The sequence below is a fragment of the Homo sapiens genome, chromosome 13, assembly GCF_000001405.40.
Source record: "Homo sapiens chromosome 13, GRCh38.p14 Primary Assembly".
Lineage (NCBI taxonomy): Eukaryota > Metazoa > Chordata > Mammalia > Primates > Hominidae > Homo > Homo sapiens.
The window spans coordinates 52,835,977-52,852,980 of record NC_000013.11 but is presented as its reverse complement, the minus strand read 5'-3'; the positions used below and the strand labels follow the sequence as shown (position 1 = coordinate 52,852,980).

The following is a 17,004-nucleotide window of genomic DNA, read 5'->3' as shown; positions in this document are numbered from 1 at the left end:
AATTAGCTGGGTATGTGTGGGGGTGCAGGCCTGTAATCCCAGCTACACAGGAGGCTGAGGCATGAGAATCGCTTGAGCCCACGAGGCAGAGTTTGCCATGAGCGGAGATCACGCCAGGGCACTCCAGCCTGGGCAACAGAGCAAGACTCCATCTCAAAAAACAAACAGAAAACAAAAACAAAAAACAATACAGAGAGAAAATAATTTGCACGGGTCACACAGCCAATCAGTGTAATGATCAGATTTGAACCCAAGCAGGATGATTCCAGATCCTGCAGTCAACAGCTGCGTTCTGCTTCTTATCAGGTAAAGCAGGTCTCCCAGAGTGACACACAGAACACACAAAATGAAGAGTGGCCCAAGATCTGGAAATGATCCAGGGTTTGTGAGCATCTGGCACTGGAATCAATCCAAAATCAATGTTTAAATAACAGTTACCTTCACCCCCAAATTGTCTCATTGTCTGACTGCTGAATTTGAATCAGGGCTATGGAGAATGCTGCTTTGTGGTTTACTATACAGTTTAAAAGTCACCATGCCTATACTGACAGCCCAACAAATACACACACAGAGAGAGATAACTTTAAAAAAAAAGAAAAAAAAAGAATTTGGAGTGTAGAAAACAGCTTGGTTGCATTTCTAGTGCACCAACCCCAGAAAACCCAGAGGCTTCAGAATTTGATGAGATTTTTGCAAAGTGTGTTTTCACTACAAAAATGAATTAGATGCCCCGAAGAGCTTCCTCTGTTCTTTGCTTGGCCAAGCACTTGCTGCAAACTTCCCTGAGGGGTTTACCCAATGGTGAGCCTGTAGGAGGAAAAACCAGGGCCCTGGGCTTATTTTTAAAGGAAAAAAAAAAGTAAAAGTTTAAAAAATAACCCCTCTTCATCCATCCTTAGAATTACACTTTCCAGTGAAGTCTAGTACCCTTTCCTGGTAGATATAATCCTAATTAAAAATAAATTACATGCTGTATAGAACTTGAAATGGACAAGATAATCCTATTACATATGAGAATATATCCTGATTTTCTTTCCCGCTAAACTGTGGGAGATATCAGATCAGTCTGAGCCCCCCATTGTCGCCTCTTTGAAAACTTTCCTGGAGCCCTAATCCATCACGTGACGCCCATGTCAATCTTGGTGTTTGCACGCGAGTTTCACAATGCCGGCATTAGGCTCGGTAACAGAAACCCAGCTTTGCGGAGCCCGCAACATTTGCATTCCGAGAAAACGCCGGCCATTGTGGAGCTGTGTTTGTTCTCAAGATTGCGAGACAGTTGCCGGCGAAGTTGCTAAAACCGAGAGAAAGGGGCTCCTTTGGGCCTGCCCAGACCTTTTGGTATGATAACAAGGCGATTCGAGCGGCTTTTGTGAGGCCTGATCAGCACCCGGGCGGGCGAGCTCCCCTCCCTTTCCCCTACTCCTCTCCAGCGCCACCTCCCCGGACATATTTTCCTTCCCGGGGAGTTGCTGCGGACGTTGATGTGCTATTTTAAATCGTATTTCCATAATCGAGTGGCTGTCCGCTGCCGGCCCGGAGCTCACGGTGTTCGCGTGCCTTCACACCTCCACCGCCGGCACGGAAAGACCTGTGCGCGCCGGTGGCGGCTGGAGGCTCGCGGCTCCCTTCCCGGGCTCCCCGGCTCCCAGCTCTCAGCCTCCCGGCGCCGCCGCCGTCGTGGCTACTTCCGATCGACGAGGGCCTGGCCGCGGAAAAAACACTTTAGACCTGCTACCAGCCACCCTACACCCCTCCTCCCGCCTCCTGGCTTTTGCCTGCCCCTACTCCCCTTTCCTTTTCCCACTTTCAAGCACGCCTTGGTTTATTTCAGCCTTGAGAATGAGCATGCTGACGCGGAAGCACTTTGAGTAGAAATTGCAAGTAGTTCCGAATCTCTGGCCAAGCGAAAAACCCAAACTTAGCGCGTGGCGGGGCTCCCGAGTCCAGCCCAGAACTGCGGGGTGCAGATGCGCAGGGGGCGCTGGCGCGAGGTCCGGGTCCCAGCCATTCGCGGCCGGGCTGTGCTCGCGGAAACCGCTGAAATCCCTTCCTTTGGGACTCCGGCCCCATTTCCACCCACTTTCCCCACCTTCCGGGTCCTCCGCCCGGCAGCAGCAGCGCCAGGCGGGCCTGACCTTGCCCTGGGTACGCCAGCGGAAGCGCTGAGGCCGCTGTCCACCAGCCAAGTTCTGAACCTGTTCCCGTCTGGGTCTCCGGGGGAAGAGGGGTGAGGAGAGATGACGTTAGCCTAGGGGCGCTAAAGGTCACCAGCCAGCCCCAGGTTGGGGTGGGAGTGTTGCGGGGCTCGGAAGGAAAATAGAAAGTTCCTTCGACTGCGTGTACCCCCCAAGGAATATCTCTTGGGCGGGGACGGTGGGAGGGCTACATACTAAATCGCACTTGGGAGATGGAAGACAGCGGAAGAAAGGGCTGCGATTTGGGCTCCTGTAGGGGGCGCTCCTCCTTCCACGTCCCCACGCGGCTGCAGATGCCTGGCCTTATTGCTTTTAGCATTCCCAAGACTACAAGGTGGAAGAGGTGGAGAAGGGAACCCAGAGACACACCCCTCTGAGGAAGTCTCCAGCCACTCATCATCCCCCTCCCCAGTCTTATAAGAGCTTGTATTTATGGATGGCTGGAGCTGCATGTTCCGCTCTCTGACAATTCCAAGCACCTCTCATCCCTGCCACCCAGCTCCCTGCTTGGTCTCCCTACTCCAAGGAAACTCCTGACCCTCTTCTGAAAAAAAACCCAAAACACACTCCCTCGAGTTTGAGGGAAAGGAAAACATGGATAGGACGCTGACAGCAGGACCAAAATCGGGATTCTGAAGAATGTTTACTGAATTCAATCTACTTACCAAACCTATCGCCTAAAAAGAAAAATTTCTTCCAGTGAGTGGCTTTTGTTTTTTACCTTTCCTCCTTCGTGTGTATTTGCATAGCCTGCTCAATAAAGCCCTTCAGTAAGAATCATTAAGAATCCGTCTTGTTGCAGATCCGAGCTCCATCTCCCTGGCCGTCAGGGATGGGAGGGGGCTATCTGTGGGGCAGCGCAGCGCCCGGCCAGCCCCAGGATCCGCCCAGCCCAGATTTTGGCAGTGCCGAAGCTCCACACTTTCCTAAGCAGATGGTTAAGTTCCCCCCACGTTCCTGCCAGGTTTCAACGTCACGCTGTGATTTTGTTCTTCTGGAACCGGACGAGTGTTGCTTCCCAGAGTGGCCCTATTAGAACAGAAAGAAAATCCTCTAAATAGGCGGAACAAGGCATCAGGAGGAAAAAGTTCTCTAAATGCACTTTAATACGAGCCGGGTATTGTGTGGAATTCAGCGCCCATCACCGTTTAGCCGGAGAGTTATGGCAGTGATTGGGGATGAATAGAGGAACATAATGGATACATGTGGCGTTTGCTCATTATATTCAAGTTAGTCCAACTCCGCTGTGGAAACTGTTCAACTTTCTCTCCCCTTAGCTTGTCACAGTGAAATAATACAGACATTGGGGCCTCCAATGGGATCGCCTGCCACACCATTCTATTTCCACTGCTAACGAGGGCTTCATAAGCCTTTGATACAGTCTGATCTTTGAAACCTTTCCAAATCTCCTCAAGCTTATGCTAAATCCTATTTGGAACTTTTTTTTCCTTGCCTGCTAGCTCCCAGGGCTTAAGAAGGCCACTTGGACAGTGACGTGCATACTAACATATCGCGGGGCTCTTTTCTGAAAGGGAAGTGGCAGCTCTGATCACTGGGGCTCACACGAGCAAAACACAATTGAGTACACAAATTTGAATAAAATCAATTTTCCCTTATCCTTCAGGCTTCTTAATCGAGAGGCTATTCCAGGCACCGTAGCTAGGAGAGAAGGAAAGCAGAGCCTCATTCAGCAGAGCAAGTCTGTGGGTAGGGGGCTGCAAGGGTTTGGAAGCGTCAGAGGTGCAAAATGCAGAGTGTGTGTGTTGGCAGGGGCTGGGGGAAGGCGGAATCAGGAGCCACTGGGGTGAAACCCCAGCGTGTTCGCACTTAGTTCTAGCCGCGGCACGGAGGGAGGCAGGCGACAATTAACAAAACCATCCGCTCCTTTTACTCCTGGAGCCCTGTGCCAACTCCTCTACATGCAGGGTGCTGACAAGAAAAGGGGGAAAAAGCAAAAGGAGTTAAACAAAAGAAAGATTCCCTAATTTTCCTTTCTTGTTTTCCCCTCTAAGCCTTTCCACATTAAAGGGATTGTCAGAGGCAGGCGGAGGGGCGACGCGAGGGGGAGGCGGCCATTGGCTACCCGGCTCGGGTGATTAGCATATCGGCGGCTATAAAGGCAAAGGCGGCGCGAGGCGGCGCAGCTTCTGTAAGAGACGGAGAGGCGCAGAGTGAGGGCGGGTCCGCGCGTCCTCAGAGCCCGCTGGAGGCTCGGAGCTGCTACCCGCAGACTTCTCCCGCACAGGGCTCGCAAAGAGCGTGATTCCGAGAGCCTGAGACTGACGCCCGACCTGGAAACCAGAGAAGACTTCCTTAGCCTTTCGGATCGCACTTGAGGCTGGAGGCATGAGTCCTGTGAGGCGTTGGGGCAGCCCCTGCCTTTTCCCCTTGCAGCTCTTCAGCCTCTGCTGGGTGCTCTCAGTGGCCCAGAGCAAAACAGTCCGATACAGCACCTTCGAGGAGGATGCCCCCGGCACGGTCATCGGGACCCTGGCCGAGGACCTGCATATGAAAGTATCGGGTGACACAAGCTTCCGCCTGATGAAGCAATTCAACAGCTCTCTGCTCCGGGTGCGCGAAGGCGACGGGCAGCTGACCGTCGGGGACGCCGGCCTGGACCGCGAGCGGCTGTGTGGCCAGGCCCCGCAGTGCGTGCTGGCCTTCGATGTGGTCAGCTTCTCGCAGGAGCAGTTCCGGCTGGTGCACGTGGAGGTAGAGGTGAGGGACGTCAACGACCACGCGCCGCGCTTCCCCAGGGCCCAGATCCCGGTAGAGGTGTCCGAGGGTGCGGCAGTGGGCACGCGCATCCCCTTGGAGGTGCCGGTGGACGAGGACGTGGGCGCCAACGGGCTGCAGACCGTGCGCCTGGCCGAGCCGCACAGCCCCTTTCGCGTGGAGCTGCAGACGCGAGCGGACGGCGCTCAGTGCGCAGACCTGGTGCTGCTGCAGGAGCTGGACCGCGAGAGCCAGGCCGCCTACAGCCTGGAGCTGGTGGCCCAGGACGGCGGCCGCCCGCCGCGCTCCGCCACGGCTGCCCTCAGCGTGCGCGTCCTGGATGCGAATGACCACAGCCCGGCCTTCCCGCAGGGCGCCGTGGCCGAAGTGGAGCTGGCGGAAGACGCGCCCGTGGGCTCCCTGCTTCTCGACCTGGACGCAGCCGACCCCGACGAGGGACCTAACGGCGACGTGGTGTTCGCATTTGGCGCCCGCACCCCGCCGGAGGCGCGCCGCCTCTTTCGGCTTGACCCGCGATCAGGCCGCCTCACCCTGGCCGGGCCCGTGGACTACGAGCGTCAGGACACCTACGAGCTGGACGTGCGGGCGCAGGACCGCGGACCCGGGCCCCGCGCTGCCACCTGCAAGGTCATCGTGCGCATCCGAGACGTCAATGACAACGCACCCGACATCGCCATCACCCCGCTGGCCGCCCCAGGCGCGCCGGCAACCTCACCCTTCGCCGCTGCCGCCGCCGCCGCTGCACTCGGGGGAGCGGACGCTAGCTCGCCGGCGGGAGCCGGGACGCCGGAGGCTGGTGCCACTTCGCTGGTGCCGGAGGGGGCGGCGCGCGAGAGCCTGGTGGCCCTGGTCAGCACCTCGGACAGGGACTCGGGCGCCAACGGGCAAGTGCGCTGCGCCCTCTATGGGCACGAGCACTTCCGGCTGCAGCCGGCCTACGCGGGCAGCTACCTGGTGGTGACCGCGGCGTCGCTGGACCGCGAACGCATCGCCGAGTACAACTTGACGCTGGTGGCCGAGGATCGCGGCGCGCCCCCGCTGCGCACAGTGCGGCCCTACACGGTGCGTGTGGGCGACGAGAACGACAACGCGCCGCTCTTCACGCGGCCGGTCTATGAGGTGTCGGTGCGCGAGAACAACCCGCCAGGCGCCTACCTGGCCACGGTGGCCGCCCGCGACCGGGACCTGGGCCGCAACGGCCAGGTCACCTACCGGCTGCTGGAGGCCGAGGTGGGCCGCGCCGGGGGCGCCGTGTCCACTTATGTCTCGGTGGACCCAGCTACCGGAGCCATCTACGCGCTGCGCAGCTTCGACTATGAGACGCTGCGCCAACTCGACGTTCGCATCCAAGCTAGCGACGGCGGCTCCCCTCAGCTTTCCAGCAGCGCCCTAGTGCAAGTGCGCGTGCTGGACCAGAACGACCATGCGCCAGTCCTGGTGCACCCGGCGCCAGCCAATGGCTCCCTAGAAGTGGCGGTGCCTGGGCGCACCGCAAAGGACACGGTTGTGGCCCGTGTGCAGGCCCGGGATGCAGACGAGGGAGCCAACGGGGAGCTGGCGTTCGAGCTGCAGCAGCAGGAGCCGCGCGAAGCCTTCGCCATCGGCCGCCGCACGGGGGAGATACTGCTCACCGGCGACCTCTCGCAGGAGCCACCCGGTCGCGTGTTCAGGGCGCTCCTGGTCATATCCGACGGCGGCCGTCCCCCGCTCACCACCACCGCAACTGTCAGCTTCGTGGTAACAGCAGGGGGCGGGCGTGGGCCGGCTGCGCCTGCCAGTGCAGGAAGCCCGGAGCGTTCCCGCCCGCCTGGCTCTCGGCTCGGGGTGTCCGGGTCGGTGCTGCAATGGGACACGCCGCTGATCGTCATCATCGTGCTGGCCGGGAGCTGCACGCTGCTGCTGGCCGCCATCATCGCCATCGCCACCACCTGCAACCGCCGCAAGAAGGAGGTGCGCAAAGGGGGGGCCCTCCGGGAAGAGCGGCCCGGGGCGGCGGGCGGCGGAGCCTCGGCTCCCGGCTCCCCGGAGGAGGCCGCCCGGGGAGCCGGGCCCAGGCCCAACATGTTCGACGTGCTCACCTTCCCTGGCACCGGCAAAGCGCCCTTTGGCAGCCCCGCGGCGGACGCGCCTCCGCCTGCGGTCGCCGCGGCCGAAGTGCCGGGCTCAGAGGGCGGCAGCGCCACTGGGGAAAGCGCCTGTCACTTCGAGGGGCAGCAGCGGCTCCGCGGCGCGCACGCCGAGGTGAGGCCTTCCTTCGGCTGGGCGCCCCCCTCCGAGCTCCGCGGACAGGCTGGGGGAAGGGAGACTGGAGGGGTAGGGTGGGTGCATTCAGGTAGACAACCTGTCGCACTTGTTTTTTGTTTGTTTCTTATCCAACCCTCCCCCCACTCCCATTCCCCTATTCCCTGCTGCAGCCCTACGGTGCCTCCCCGGGTTTTGGAAAGGAGCCGGCGCCCCCTGTGGCGGTGTGGAAAGGACACTCCTTCAACACCATTTCTGGCAGAGAAGCAGAGAAGTTCAGCGGCAAAGACAGCGGTAAAGGGGACAGTGATTTCAACGACAGCGATTCCGACATCAGCGGGGACGCTCTGAAAAAGGATCTCATCAACCACATGCAGAGTGGTGAGGACTCTTCTTTCCCGCCAAATTCGGCATTCCTCCCTTCCCTCCCCTTCACCACTGTTTGCCTCCTCTCAATCTCGGTTCCCAGCCCCCTTCCCTCTTCCCCACTTTTTCTCACTCCTACAGCTGCGGATACGGGCCTGCCTCACACGGTGAATTTCAAAATGCCAAGTCGAGGCAACTCCAGCTCTTGAATAAAACACACCCTCATCCTGTTAGGCAGCAGCATGGGTGATGCTAGCCATTAAAAAGTGGGTTCTGCTTATCAATTTTTTTTTTCACTTCCAGCTGAAGAAGCTGGACCAGCTTTGCATTAAGATGGCTTTACAGGAAGCAATGTGCCTTCGATTCTTGAGACACGGTGTATATCTATGCGCACAGCCTTTCCTTTCAGCTGCCCTGACCCAGGCTGACATGCTGAAGATGGAAGCCTGAATATGTATAATCTCAGGAATAATCGTCATGCTGTTTCCTTTTCCCTTTCGTATTAGGACTGTGGGCGTGCACCGCTGAGTGTAAGATCCTGGGCCACTCTGACCGCTGCTGGAGCCCATCCTGCAGCGGGCCCAACGCACATCCATCGCCTCACCCACCAGCCCAGATGTCAACCTTCTGTAAGAGCACGTCACTGCCTCGGGATCCTCTGCGCAGGGACAATTACTACCAGGCCCAGCTGCCCAAGACAGTGGGGCTGCAGAGCGTCTATGAGAAAGTACTGCACAGAGACTATGACAGGACAGTCACTCTGCTCTCCCCTCCCCGTCCAGGGAGGCTCCCAGACCTGCAGGAGATTGGAGTACCCCTCTACCAGTCCCCTCCTGGCAGGTACCTGTCCCCGAAGAAGGGAGCCAATGAAAATGTGTAATCCCATGCTGCATGTCTTCACACATATACAGGTCACTCCGAGAAGCCCCTAAGTTATTGACCGGTTTCAGTGTTGTATATATAAATATGCAAGATGTGCCTTACAATGAAGTTGTTGGAAGCTATTTCCAATCACATTGGTACTGTTTGGTATTTGCAAACAAAAATGTAGTTAATGTAATTTTTATGAAATGTGTGCAGTATTTAATTTTTCTTATGCTATTGACTTTGATTTCAATTGCGGCTTGCCATTTTCTTAGTGTTTTTAACCTGTACATTGTGTAATGTAATGTTTGTATATAATGAAATTTTGTTATATTTTTATATAATAAAAGCTAAAGTGGAAGTTATTGCCAAAGGAACTGTCTGTAAGACAAAAAACAAAACATGTTGGAATTACTTAATTGAAATTTATCTTTCACCTGAAACAACCTAGTGTTTGAGAAATTTTGCCTTGCCAAGTATAACTTGTATATCTTGACTCTGTGGTAGATTTCAAGTTCAATGTTATTTAATTACATTTGGTTTTCCGTAAACCGTGTCACTTATAAGCACAGTAATAAAAGATTTGTCATGTGTTTGAAGAATCTGCCAATTGCTTTTCATGAAGCTGCCTATAGTCAGACATTCACAAATAATTTGAGTATCAGAATGAAACCTTCTTTCAAGTGCTAATTATTTGGGCATTATTAATGTTCATGACAATATTAAACCTGTAGGATTTCAAGTATTGCAAAATGTCACCCAAGTATTAAAAACGTGTGTTGATTTCATAAATTATGTGCATCTCCATATGTATTAGTCTATAAAATCCCTGCTCTCATTTATTCACTAGGTAAATATTCATTGAGCAGCCACCAAAAAGTGAAGAAAGCTAAGTTTGGGTTGTTCATTCACTAATTAAACAAGCATCTGTAGAACTTTTACTAGCTGCTGGTACCTCCTCCTCAAGCTGGAGTTTGAGGTGAAGAAGACGTAGTCCCAAAGAGCCCTCAGCTTATTCGGGGTGTTAGTATCAAAAAGACTAACATCTTAGTCTTTTGGAATATAATAGGTTCCCACTACATTCTGTCCTACTTCCTCTTTCCTTGCCTTCCTCTGGAGCCAGTCTCCAAAGTAACTATCAGCTCTATTCCACTCAAATTTATGGGCAAAATGACATGATGTTTGGGATTCGCTTTAAAATGTTCTAGAAAAAAACACAGGGAGCTATGTGAAACAAGATCGATTTGATAAGATATTGATAATTGTCAATGCTAGCATAGGTGCATGTGAGGTAGGGAAATTTCAGCAGTATCTCTAAATGTTTGTGTTTGAAAATGTACATAATGGAAAGTCTTAAAAAAAGACACTCAAGAGTACTATGCCTATGTCTTATACTCTATGGATTTCATTTGAAATTAAAATGATGATAAGCATAATGAGACCTAACATTTACTGAGCAAGTCTTCTGTGAGCAGAGCTCCTTACCAAGCATTCTGCATGAATTATCTCATTTAATCAGCAAACTACCCCCAGGATATGGGAAGTATCATTAACTCCATTTTGCAATTAAAGAAACCGAGGCACAAGAAGGTTAGATAAAATGCCAAAAATCACACAGCTAATAAGTATCCAGGGTGAGATTCAAACCTAGGTTATTCAGTGCAAAAAATAAAACAAAGTAATGAAACAAGTTGTTTTTGATTTGCTTTTTTTTTTTTACCTGAAAGAAACAAGGAGTTATGTAGAAAAGTCCCAATGCATTGCCTTTGCTGCATGATTACTGTTTAGCCCTTTATATTTGTGAAGTGCCTGTGTTCCTTTATTACTAATTATAGAGTGTGCGGCAGTGTAATGAATAGAGAAGGCCTCAAAGCTGCCTGTTGAAGTCATAATTGAAACCAGTGGTAGCTCCAGGCTGAACAGCAGGGTGGGTACACACAAGTGCTTCACCACCCACAGCCCGTGCAAAGTTCAGCCGTTTCTGCAGGCAACGGAGTCGCACGTGCGCCTGACAAGCTCAGACCGCCCAGACCGTGGGTTCCGAAAGAAAACATTACAGCTCCAGAGCCATGATGGCCAGGCCCTAGGGGAACAGACTCCCAGGTAGACCTACCATTATAACATCTAAAACTTTATTCTCGAGCCAGCCTCATCAAACGCAAAATAGAAGAATGAATGATCCCACTGCAGTCTAAAAGCATCCAGTCTCTGAATGTGTTTGCTGCTTTTGTCCTTCAAAAGTAAAATAATGTTATTGTCATTATTTTATTTTGTACCGTGCGAATTATTTCGTTACTCCAAAAATTTGGGTTTCAAAACCTCTGACTTACTATCATTTTTTCCCTTAGCAAAATAACCACTATCAGATCTTGTTTTGATTTGAAACTTTAAAAAAATCAAACACACAATTTCAGTCCTCAACATTGTTTGCTTAAACAAAAAAGGTTGGGGTGTTCCTCTATGGGCCAGCAGCAGGAACTCTCCAAGAAACAGGAGCTGTGTGTGGGAGGCTTTTCACTTGTCTCCAGAAATGTTTACTCTCAAGCACATTTTTAAGAAAATATATTGCTTTATTTAATTAAGTGAGATAATACATATGCAGAATTCTTGGCACAATTCTTGGCCTGTAGTAAGTTCCCACTACAGTCTATCCTACTTCCTCTTTCGTTGCCTTCTTCTGGAGCCAGTCTCCACAGTACTATCAGCACCGCCCCACCCACTGAGGAAGACAAAGTAGACCCAGGATGCCCAGCCTTGCTCTGACCCTGTTTTGCTGTCTTCACTCCCTCCACTTTCACCAAGTAGTCCAGAGCCTCATGTGTAGCCAACACTTTACAAACAAGCACAGCTAAGGTGAATATCATTGGCAAAATCACAAGCCTTAGAGGTTTGTGATTATAACACAGATACCTCTCTGGAAGTAGAGGCCAACAACCCTTGGGCACCTTAGCAGTGAATACTGGGACATGAGAAAGCCCATGGGGAAGACAGAGGTCACCTCAAGAGAGAAAGCTAAAGCCAGGCTTTACCTGTTTCACATTTTTGTCTCTGGCCCCATTGACTTGGATGTTCTACACGTCTTCCTATAATAAAATATCTATAAGGAAACCACTTTAGAAAGTTAAACTGTTAGTGGTTTCAACATCTATTGAAAAATGCATTCTGAAATAGAGCAAAAACAGGAATCATGTCTCTAAATACAAATATATATATACACACACACACACACACACACACATACATACAGAGAGAAAAATATATATTTATAATCAGGATGAGTTCCATGCCATAATGAGCTAAATATCTGGCTTATTTCACTTGGCAAATATAAACTTTTAACATCTAAAAATTCCATTTTAGAAGACGAGCATATTCACTTTACTACTGAATATCCAATAATAGGATAATTGGAATGCTGTAAGCTCTGAAAGCAAACTGAAGCAAAGAAATACAATAGTTGATGGGGCACTGTGCTCTGCAACAACTCAGAAGAGCTTTGAAATGCTGTCTTGGTTTTCAACAGCTATGCAATAACTCAAAAGGGTGTTTATTATTCCCTTTCTTCAGGGAGAGACAATCTGCAATGGAATTCACCAACAGGTTCAAAGTCAACTAATAAGTGAACAGCAGGTAGAAAGAGACACCAGGCTATTTTAAAAGCCATCACTTAAACCACCAGATTAAATGTGCAGAGGGGAAATCATTCATTATCAGAGTCAGGATTTGTTCCCACAAAATCTGTTTAAAGAATTTCGAACATGTCAAACTGAAGCCTGCATAGTTCAATATGGAATTAGGAAAATTCCATTTGCCAACTTAGTGTGACACTTTGCTATATCACAGACACCTCCAACTCAGGATGCCCAAATGAAAAGCAACTTCTCTTCTCTGCCATCACTATGGCCAAAACTACTCCTCTGGCAATTGTTTTAAACTCAATAAATGGGACTGCAAATTTTAGACAAAACTAGAAATGCAAAAGTCATTTTAAGACTCTACCCTATTTCTTACCCCTCAATGATCCAATCACTCATCAAGATCTATTGTCTACATTCCAAATATTGTTTAATTGTCCCTTCACTTCACTGTAGCAGATATGATGCTCTGTCCATGTTCCCATTGCTGACATCTGAGTCTACCTCAACTGCAGTGTTCCAGTTGCACTATGGCAGTTTCCTTCTCAAGCACCCATCTCTGCTGCTGCAGACTTGCTGAGCGCTTGCGGCCCCACCTGAAAGTTGTTCAACCTCTGCACAGAGCAGCCTGGAAGTACTAAGATCTGCAGAAGCAACCCTCAACCAATGAGCGATAGGAGTTGGTGGTTAAATATCCCAGCTCTCCCATCTCTCAAAGGAATCACTTTGAGCTGTGATTTGCACAGTTCCCACGAGCATCTCCAGGAAACATAAGCCTCAGTCGCCCACAGCAGCAGCCCACCCAGTAACACCTCCTTTATTGGCTTTCCTGCCTTTCCCTGCTCACTTTCCTCACTGCCTCGCTTGTGCTTCCTGGGATCACTTTCCAAATAAACTACCTGCACCCAAGTCCTTGTTTCAGTGTCTGGGTATAGGAGGACGGTCCAAGTTAGGATGGCTGCATAATAATAGGAATAAGGGTTTTCTTTCTTTCTTTTTTTTTTTTTAAGAGAATACTGTGTTCCGCCAGGTGCGGTGGCTCACGCCTGTAATCCCAGCACTTTGGGAGGCCAAGGCGGGTGGATCATGAGGTCAGGAGTTCGAGACCAGCCTGGCCAAGATGGTGAAACCCCGTATCTACTAAAAATACAAAAATTAGCCAGGCAAGGTGGCGCATGCCTGTAGTCTAAGCTACTTGGGAGGCTGAGGCAGGAGAATCACTTGAACCCGGGAGGCGGAGGTTGCAGGGAGCCGAGATTGTGCCATTGCACTCCAGCCTGGGTGACAAGAGTGAAACTCCATCTAAAAAAAAAAACAGAGAATACATGTTCCAAAACTTCACCAAGCACTTTATGGGTATTATCTAATACCCCCAACTGTACATTAAACCATCTTATATATGGAAAAAACAAGGCTTGGAGAGGTAAGGTAAATTGCCACAGGTCACACAGCTAATGTTAGATGGAGTTGGAATTAAAATCAAGATCTGAAACAGACTAAATCATACCACTGCATTCAACTTTCATTGCTTCTTTTTTGGGTTCTAGCATAAATCTTCTATCTGCTGTCTCTGTGTCCACTGCCTGTCTCCCTCCACTCCGTCTTCTACACTGCTGCCATAAAGATCTTTTTCTAAACACCTGATCTTGTAACTCTCATGATTTCACATCACCTTTAAAGTCCAAAGTGCTGTCCATGGCATCTCAGACCCTTCGTGCCCTGCCTCCATGGCATCTCAGACCCTTCGTGCCCTGCCTCCCTCCTCAGCCTCAATCCCACTGCTGTCTTCCCTCCCATGCCCTTCACACACCTGATGCTTCAGCCAGAAGAATTACTTTGTTTCACCTCTCATTTCTGATCCTTCCTCCTGGAATGGCATTCTACTTCCTCTCCCACTCTCCCCACCCACACTTTTTCTTCTCTGAACCATTCCTCTTATCCTTCAAGACTGTTTAAGAATCGCTTTACTAGAAAAGATTTCTGTGCCATGCCTTCCCCAACCCCCTCTCCCAGCCAACAGCCAGGCGAGCCCTGCCCCTCTGTGAAGCCTCAGCACGGGGCCAGCTGAGGACAACTGTTGCTTCACTGCTGGCTCATGAAGTCAAGGACTGTCTGTGTCATTCAAATGGGTATCCCCAGCACCAGGTACACTGGCTGGTACATCATCAGGATTCAATTAAAAAAAGTGCTTGCTGAATGGAATGACTCCCTGAGCTAAGCACAGAAAGTCATAGTTATACACCATAGCCAAGAGGCTACAACCACCAGTCACCTTATCTCCCCACAGGGGGTCGGAGCTAAATAAGCCTCCGAATCAGACACAACCAATCGATTCAGCTTCTCATCCACCCCAGCTAGTCTAGTGACTGGAGTGTTTGGAGGATGCAGGAGCAACAACAGCCCTGGCCAAGTCCAAGTCACCTTACCCACTGAAGGTCAAGCCTTCCCCTCTTCCTGCCTTAGTGCAGCAGCATCTTTTTAGACCCAACTTAAAAGAGGCCCAGAAGTTTCTGCGGGGTCTCATGTATCTAGAGATTGATATAGTCTAGTCCATTTGGGTACCTTAACCCATGCAGCCCAAATAATCCAGATAATTGTCAAATCTCTACTTTGTTCTTTGCAAACACAGCATACCCTAAAGTTGATGAAAACATCAGATGGTTTTCTTTGCTAAGTGTTATTAGTTTCTTATTTTATTTGGCCAAATTTTCTTCCTGTCAATTCTAGGAAAATAGCAGTAGAGGAGTGAGGATTTGCTTCTAATGAATGTCACTAGATCATCAGAGAAAGTGCTGGGTTATGAGGGTGGGGGTAGAATCTCATTTTTATTCAGCAACTGACTTTCAGCCACCGACTTTCAGCCACCATTTAACCTCGTTATGATTCATTCTGCTTATCAGCCCAAAGTCCTTAATCACCACCCTCACTGAAGGTTGGAGAATGAACTAATGAAGATGCTTAAGTGCTTCCTGGAATGCTAAGGACTCAGTCAGCTAAAGAAATTCAATGTCACCATTCTGTCCCTGGTATTCCTCTCTGTGTCTGTGGTGGTGCATCTCCCAAACTATGTCTACAAACAAGAGTTAGTAAAAATCACATTCTACATAATTATCTAGTCATTTTTCAAGTACTCACATGGAACTTTTAAGCATCTTTATTAAAAAATCCTTCCTTCAATTCCTCAATTTTGTATTATTGTTTTCAGTCAAATTCCTGAAAAACATTGTCTGGGATAGGGATTCTTATAAAAATCATTTATTGAGGAAGTGCTCACAGAAATAAAGAGAAGCAGCCAGGCTCTGTGGCTTATGCCTGTAATCCCAGCACTTTGGGAGGCTGAAGCAGGAGGATTGTTTGAGGTCAGGAATTCAAGACCAGCCTGGGCAACATAGCAAGGCCCCTGTCTCTTAAGAGAGAGAGAGAGAGAGAAGCAAGCAGGATAGGATAGGAGAGAATCTCAAGAAATGGTGGTCTTTGTATCAGCCTGGCCTCATCCAGAGCTCTGGAGCACAAATTGGTCATCCCTTGAGGCAAGAGGCCAGACTTTTTATACCCCATGTCAGTCACTGGCCTCTGGATGGGGGAGCAGGGATGCATTGCCAATACTCCCATGGCAAGGGGGCTCCATGTTTGGTTAATGGCAATTCTCTCAAGAAAAGAGCTACCATGGGCCAGGCATGGTGGCTTATACCTGTAATCCCAGCACTTTGGGAGGCCGAGACAGGCGGATCACGAGGTCAGGAGATTGAGACCATCCTGGCTAATACAGTGAAACCCCGTCTCTACTAAAAATACAAAAAGTTAGCCAGGCGTGGTGGTGGCTTCCTATAGTCCCAGCTACTCGGGAGGCTGAGGCAGGAGAATGGGGTAAACCTGGGAGGCGGAGCTTGCAGTGAGCCGAGATCGCGCCACTGCACCCCAGCCTGGGCGACAGAGCGAGACTCCGTCTCAAAAAAAAAAGAAAAGAAAAGAAAAGAAAAGAGCTACCATGAGCCTCTTGCAGCCATAATAGTTAGGAAGGAGTACACAGGTTCTTCAAGTGCATGCATGTGGGGAGGGCCACCACAGCATCTAGTCTATTAGTGGTTTTCAAATCACTATCACCTGGAGGGGCTGTTAAAACACAGATTGCACTGGGCACAGTGACTCACAACTGCAATCCCAGAGACTCAGGAGGCTGAGGCAGGAGGATCACTTTAGCCCAGGAGTTTGAGACCAGCCTAGGCAACAGAGTGAGACCCCATCTCTAAACACACACACACACACACACACACACACACACACACATTGCTAGATATGATAGTTTGGGGACAGGATCCTTTAACTGACATGTCTAACAAGTCCACAGGTGATGCCAATATTGCTAGTCCAATGACCACCCTTTCAGAACCACTGCACTATAGAGATTGTGCAGTGTTGGGCCAAGATACCTTCTGACTTGCTATGATTTGGTCAGGTTTTACCCAGATATAGAATATAATCTTCAATCACTATCTTCAGAATGTTTGATTCTGTTGCTGGAAAGGGTCCCAATCCAGACCCCAAGAGAGGGATCTTGGATCTTGTGCAAGAAAGAATTCAGCCAAGTCCATAGAGTAAAGTGAAAGTGAGTTTATTAAGAAAGTAAAGGAACAGTCTGGGCGTGGTGGCTCACGCCTGTAATTCCAGCATTTTGGGAGACCAAGGCAGGTGGATCACCTGGGGTCAGGAGTTCGAAACCAGCCTGGCCAACATGGTGAAACCCTGTCTCTACTAAAAATGCAAAAATTAGCTGGGCGTGGTGGTGGGCACCTGTAATCCCAGCTACTCAGGAGGCTGAGGCAGGAAAATCACTTGAACCTGGGAGGCAGAGGTTGCAGTGAGCCGAGATCACACCATTGTACTCTAGCCTGGGCAACAAGAGTGAAACTCAGTCAAGAAAGAAAGGAAAGTAAGAAAGAAGGAAGAGAGAGAGACAGAAGAAA

The 17,004-nt window shown here is 50.2% G+C and overlaps 1 protein-coding gene across 2 annotated transcripts, besides 7 other annotated features; it reads left to right on the top strand.

Moving 5' to 3' along the window:
• Positions 1,429 to 1,638: an enhancer, noted in NCBI's record as "active region_7796". NCBI's record gives its function as "activates an Ori minimal core promoter by ATAC-STARR-seq in GM12878 lymphoblastoid cells {active_cell/tissue: GM12878}" and the evidence as "EXISTENCE:reporter gene assay evidence [ECO:0000049][PMID:35858748]".
• Positions 2,313 to 2,607: an enhancer, noted in NCBI's record as "tiled region #8029; K562 Activating non-DNase unmatched - State 13:Ctcf". NCBI's record gives its function as "activates a minimal TATA promoter and a strong SV40 promoter by Sharpr-MPRA in K562 cells {active_cell/tissue: K562}" and the evidence as "EXISTENCE:reporter gene assay evidence [ECO:0000049][PMID:27701403]".
• Positions 3,953 to 4,247: an enhancer, noted in NCBI's record as "tiled region #8019; K562 Activating non-DNase unmatched - State 24:Quies". NCBI's record gives its function as "activates a minimal TATA promoter and a strong SV40 promoter by Sharpr-MPRA in K562 cells {active_cell/tissue: K562}" and the evidence as "EXISTENCE:reporter gene assay evidence [ECO:0000049][PMID:27701403]".
• Positions 4,341 to 10,092, top strand: PCDH8 (protocadherin 8). 2 transcript variants are annotated; one of them, NM_032949.3, is made up of 3 exons: positions 4,341 to 6,884; positions 7,349 to 7,556; positions 8,048 to 10,092. In NM_032949.3, exons 1-3 carry the CDS (start codon positions 4,545 to 4,547, stop codon positions 8,419 to 8,421), a joined length of 2,922 nt encoding a protein of 973 aa, NP_116567.1. In that variant the 5' UTR covers positions 4,341 to 4,544; the 3' UTR covers positions 8,422 to 10,092. The 2 variants fall into 2 exon arrangements, with proteins under 2 accessions (NP_116567.1, NP_002581.2); NM_002590.4 differs by having other exon boundaries at positions 4,341 to 7,175.
• Positions 4,378 to 5,267: an enhancer, noted in NCBI's record as "H3K27ac-H3K4me1 hESC enhancer chr13:53421849-53422738 (GRCh37/hg19 assembly coordinates)". NCBI's record gives its function as "activates a minimal SCP1, AML or CMV promoter by ChIP-STARR-seq in naive H9 embryonic stem cells {active_cell/tissue: H9 hESC(naive)}" and the evidence as "EXISTENCE:reporter gene assay evidence [ECO:0000049][PMID:30033119]".
• Positions 5,268 to 6,156: an enhancer, noted in NCBI's record as "H3K27ac-H3K4me1 hESC enhancer chr13:53420960-53421848 (GRCh37/hg19 assembly coordinates)". NCBI's record gives its function as "activates a minimal SCP1, AML or CMV promoter by ChIP-STARR-seq in naive H9 embryonic stem cells {active_cell/tissue: H9 hESC(naive)}" and the evidence as "EXISTENCE:reporter gene assay evidence [ECO:0000049][PMID:30033119]".
• Positions 13,530 to 14,029: an enhancer, noted in NCBI's record as "H3K4me1 hESC enhancer chr13:53413087-53413586 (GRCh37/hg19 assembly coordinates)". NCBI's record gives its function as "activates a minimal SCP1, AML or CMV promoter by ChIP-STARR-seq in naive H9 embryonic stem cells {active_cell/tissue: H9 hESC(naive)}" and the evidence as "EXISTENCE:reporter gene assay evidence [ECO:0000049][PMID:30033119]".
• Positions 14,030 to 14,531: an enhancer, noted in NCBI's record as "H3K4me1 hESC enhancer chr13:53412585-53413086 (GRCh37/hg19 assembly coordinates)". NCBI's record gives its function as "activates a minimal SCP1, AML or CMV promoter by ChIP-STARR-seq in naive H9 embryonic stem cells {active_cell/tissue: H9 hESC(naive)}" and the evidence as "EXISTENCE:reporter gene assay evidence [ECO:0000049][PMID:30033119]".

What these genes read in the sequence shown, in the direction of transcription:
- PCDH8 (NM_002590.4), top strand. Translation starts at nt 4,545, where the DNA reads ATGAGTCCTGTGAGGCGTTGGGGCAGCCCCTGCCTTTTCCCCTTGCAG. An exon ending in TCCGCGGCGCGCACGCCGAG is followed by an intron (nt 7,176 to 7,348) that starts GTGAGGCCTTCC and finishes TCCCTGCTGCAG; the next exon opens with CCCTACGGTGCCTCCCCGGG. An exon ending in CATCAACCACATGCAGAGTG is followed by an intron (nt 7,557 to 8,047) that starts GTGAGGACTCTT and finishes CTTTCGTATTAG; the next exon opens with GACTGTGGGCGTGCACCGCT.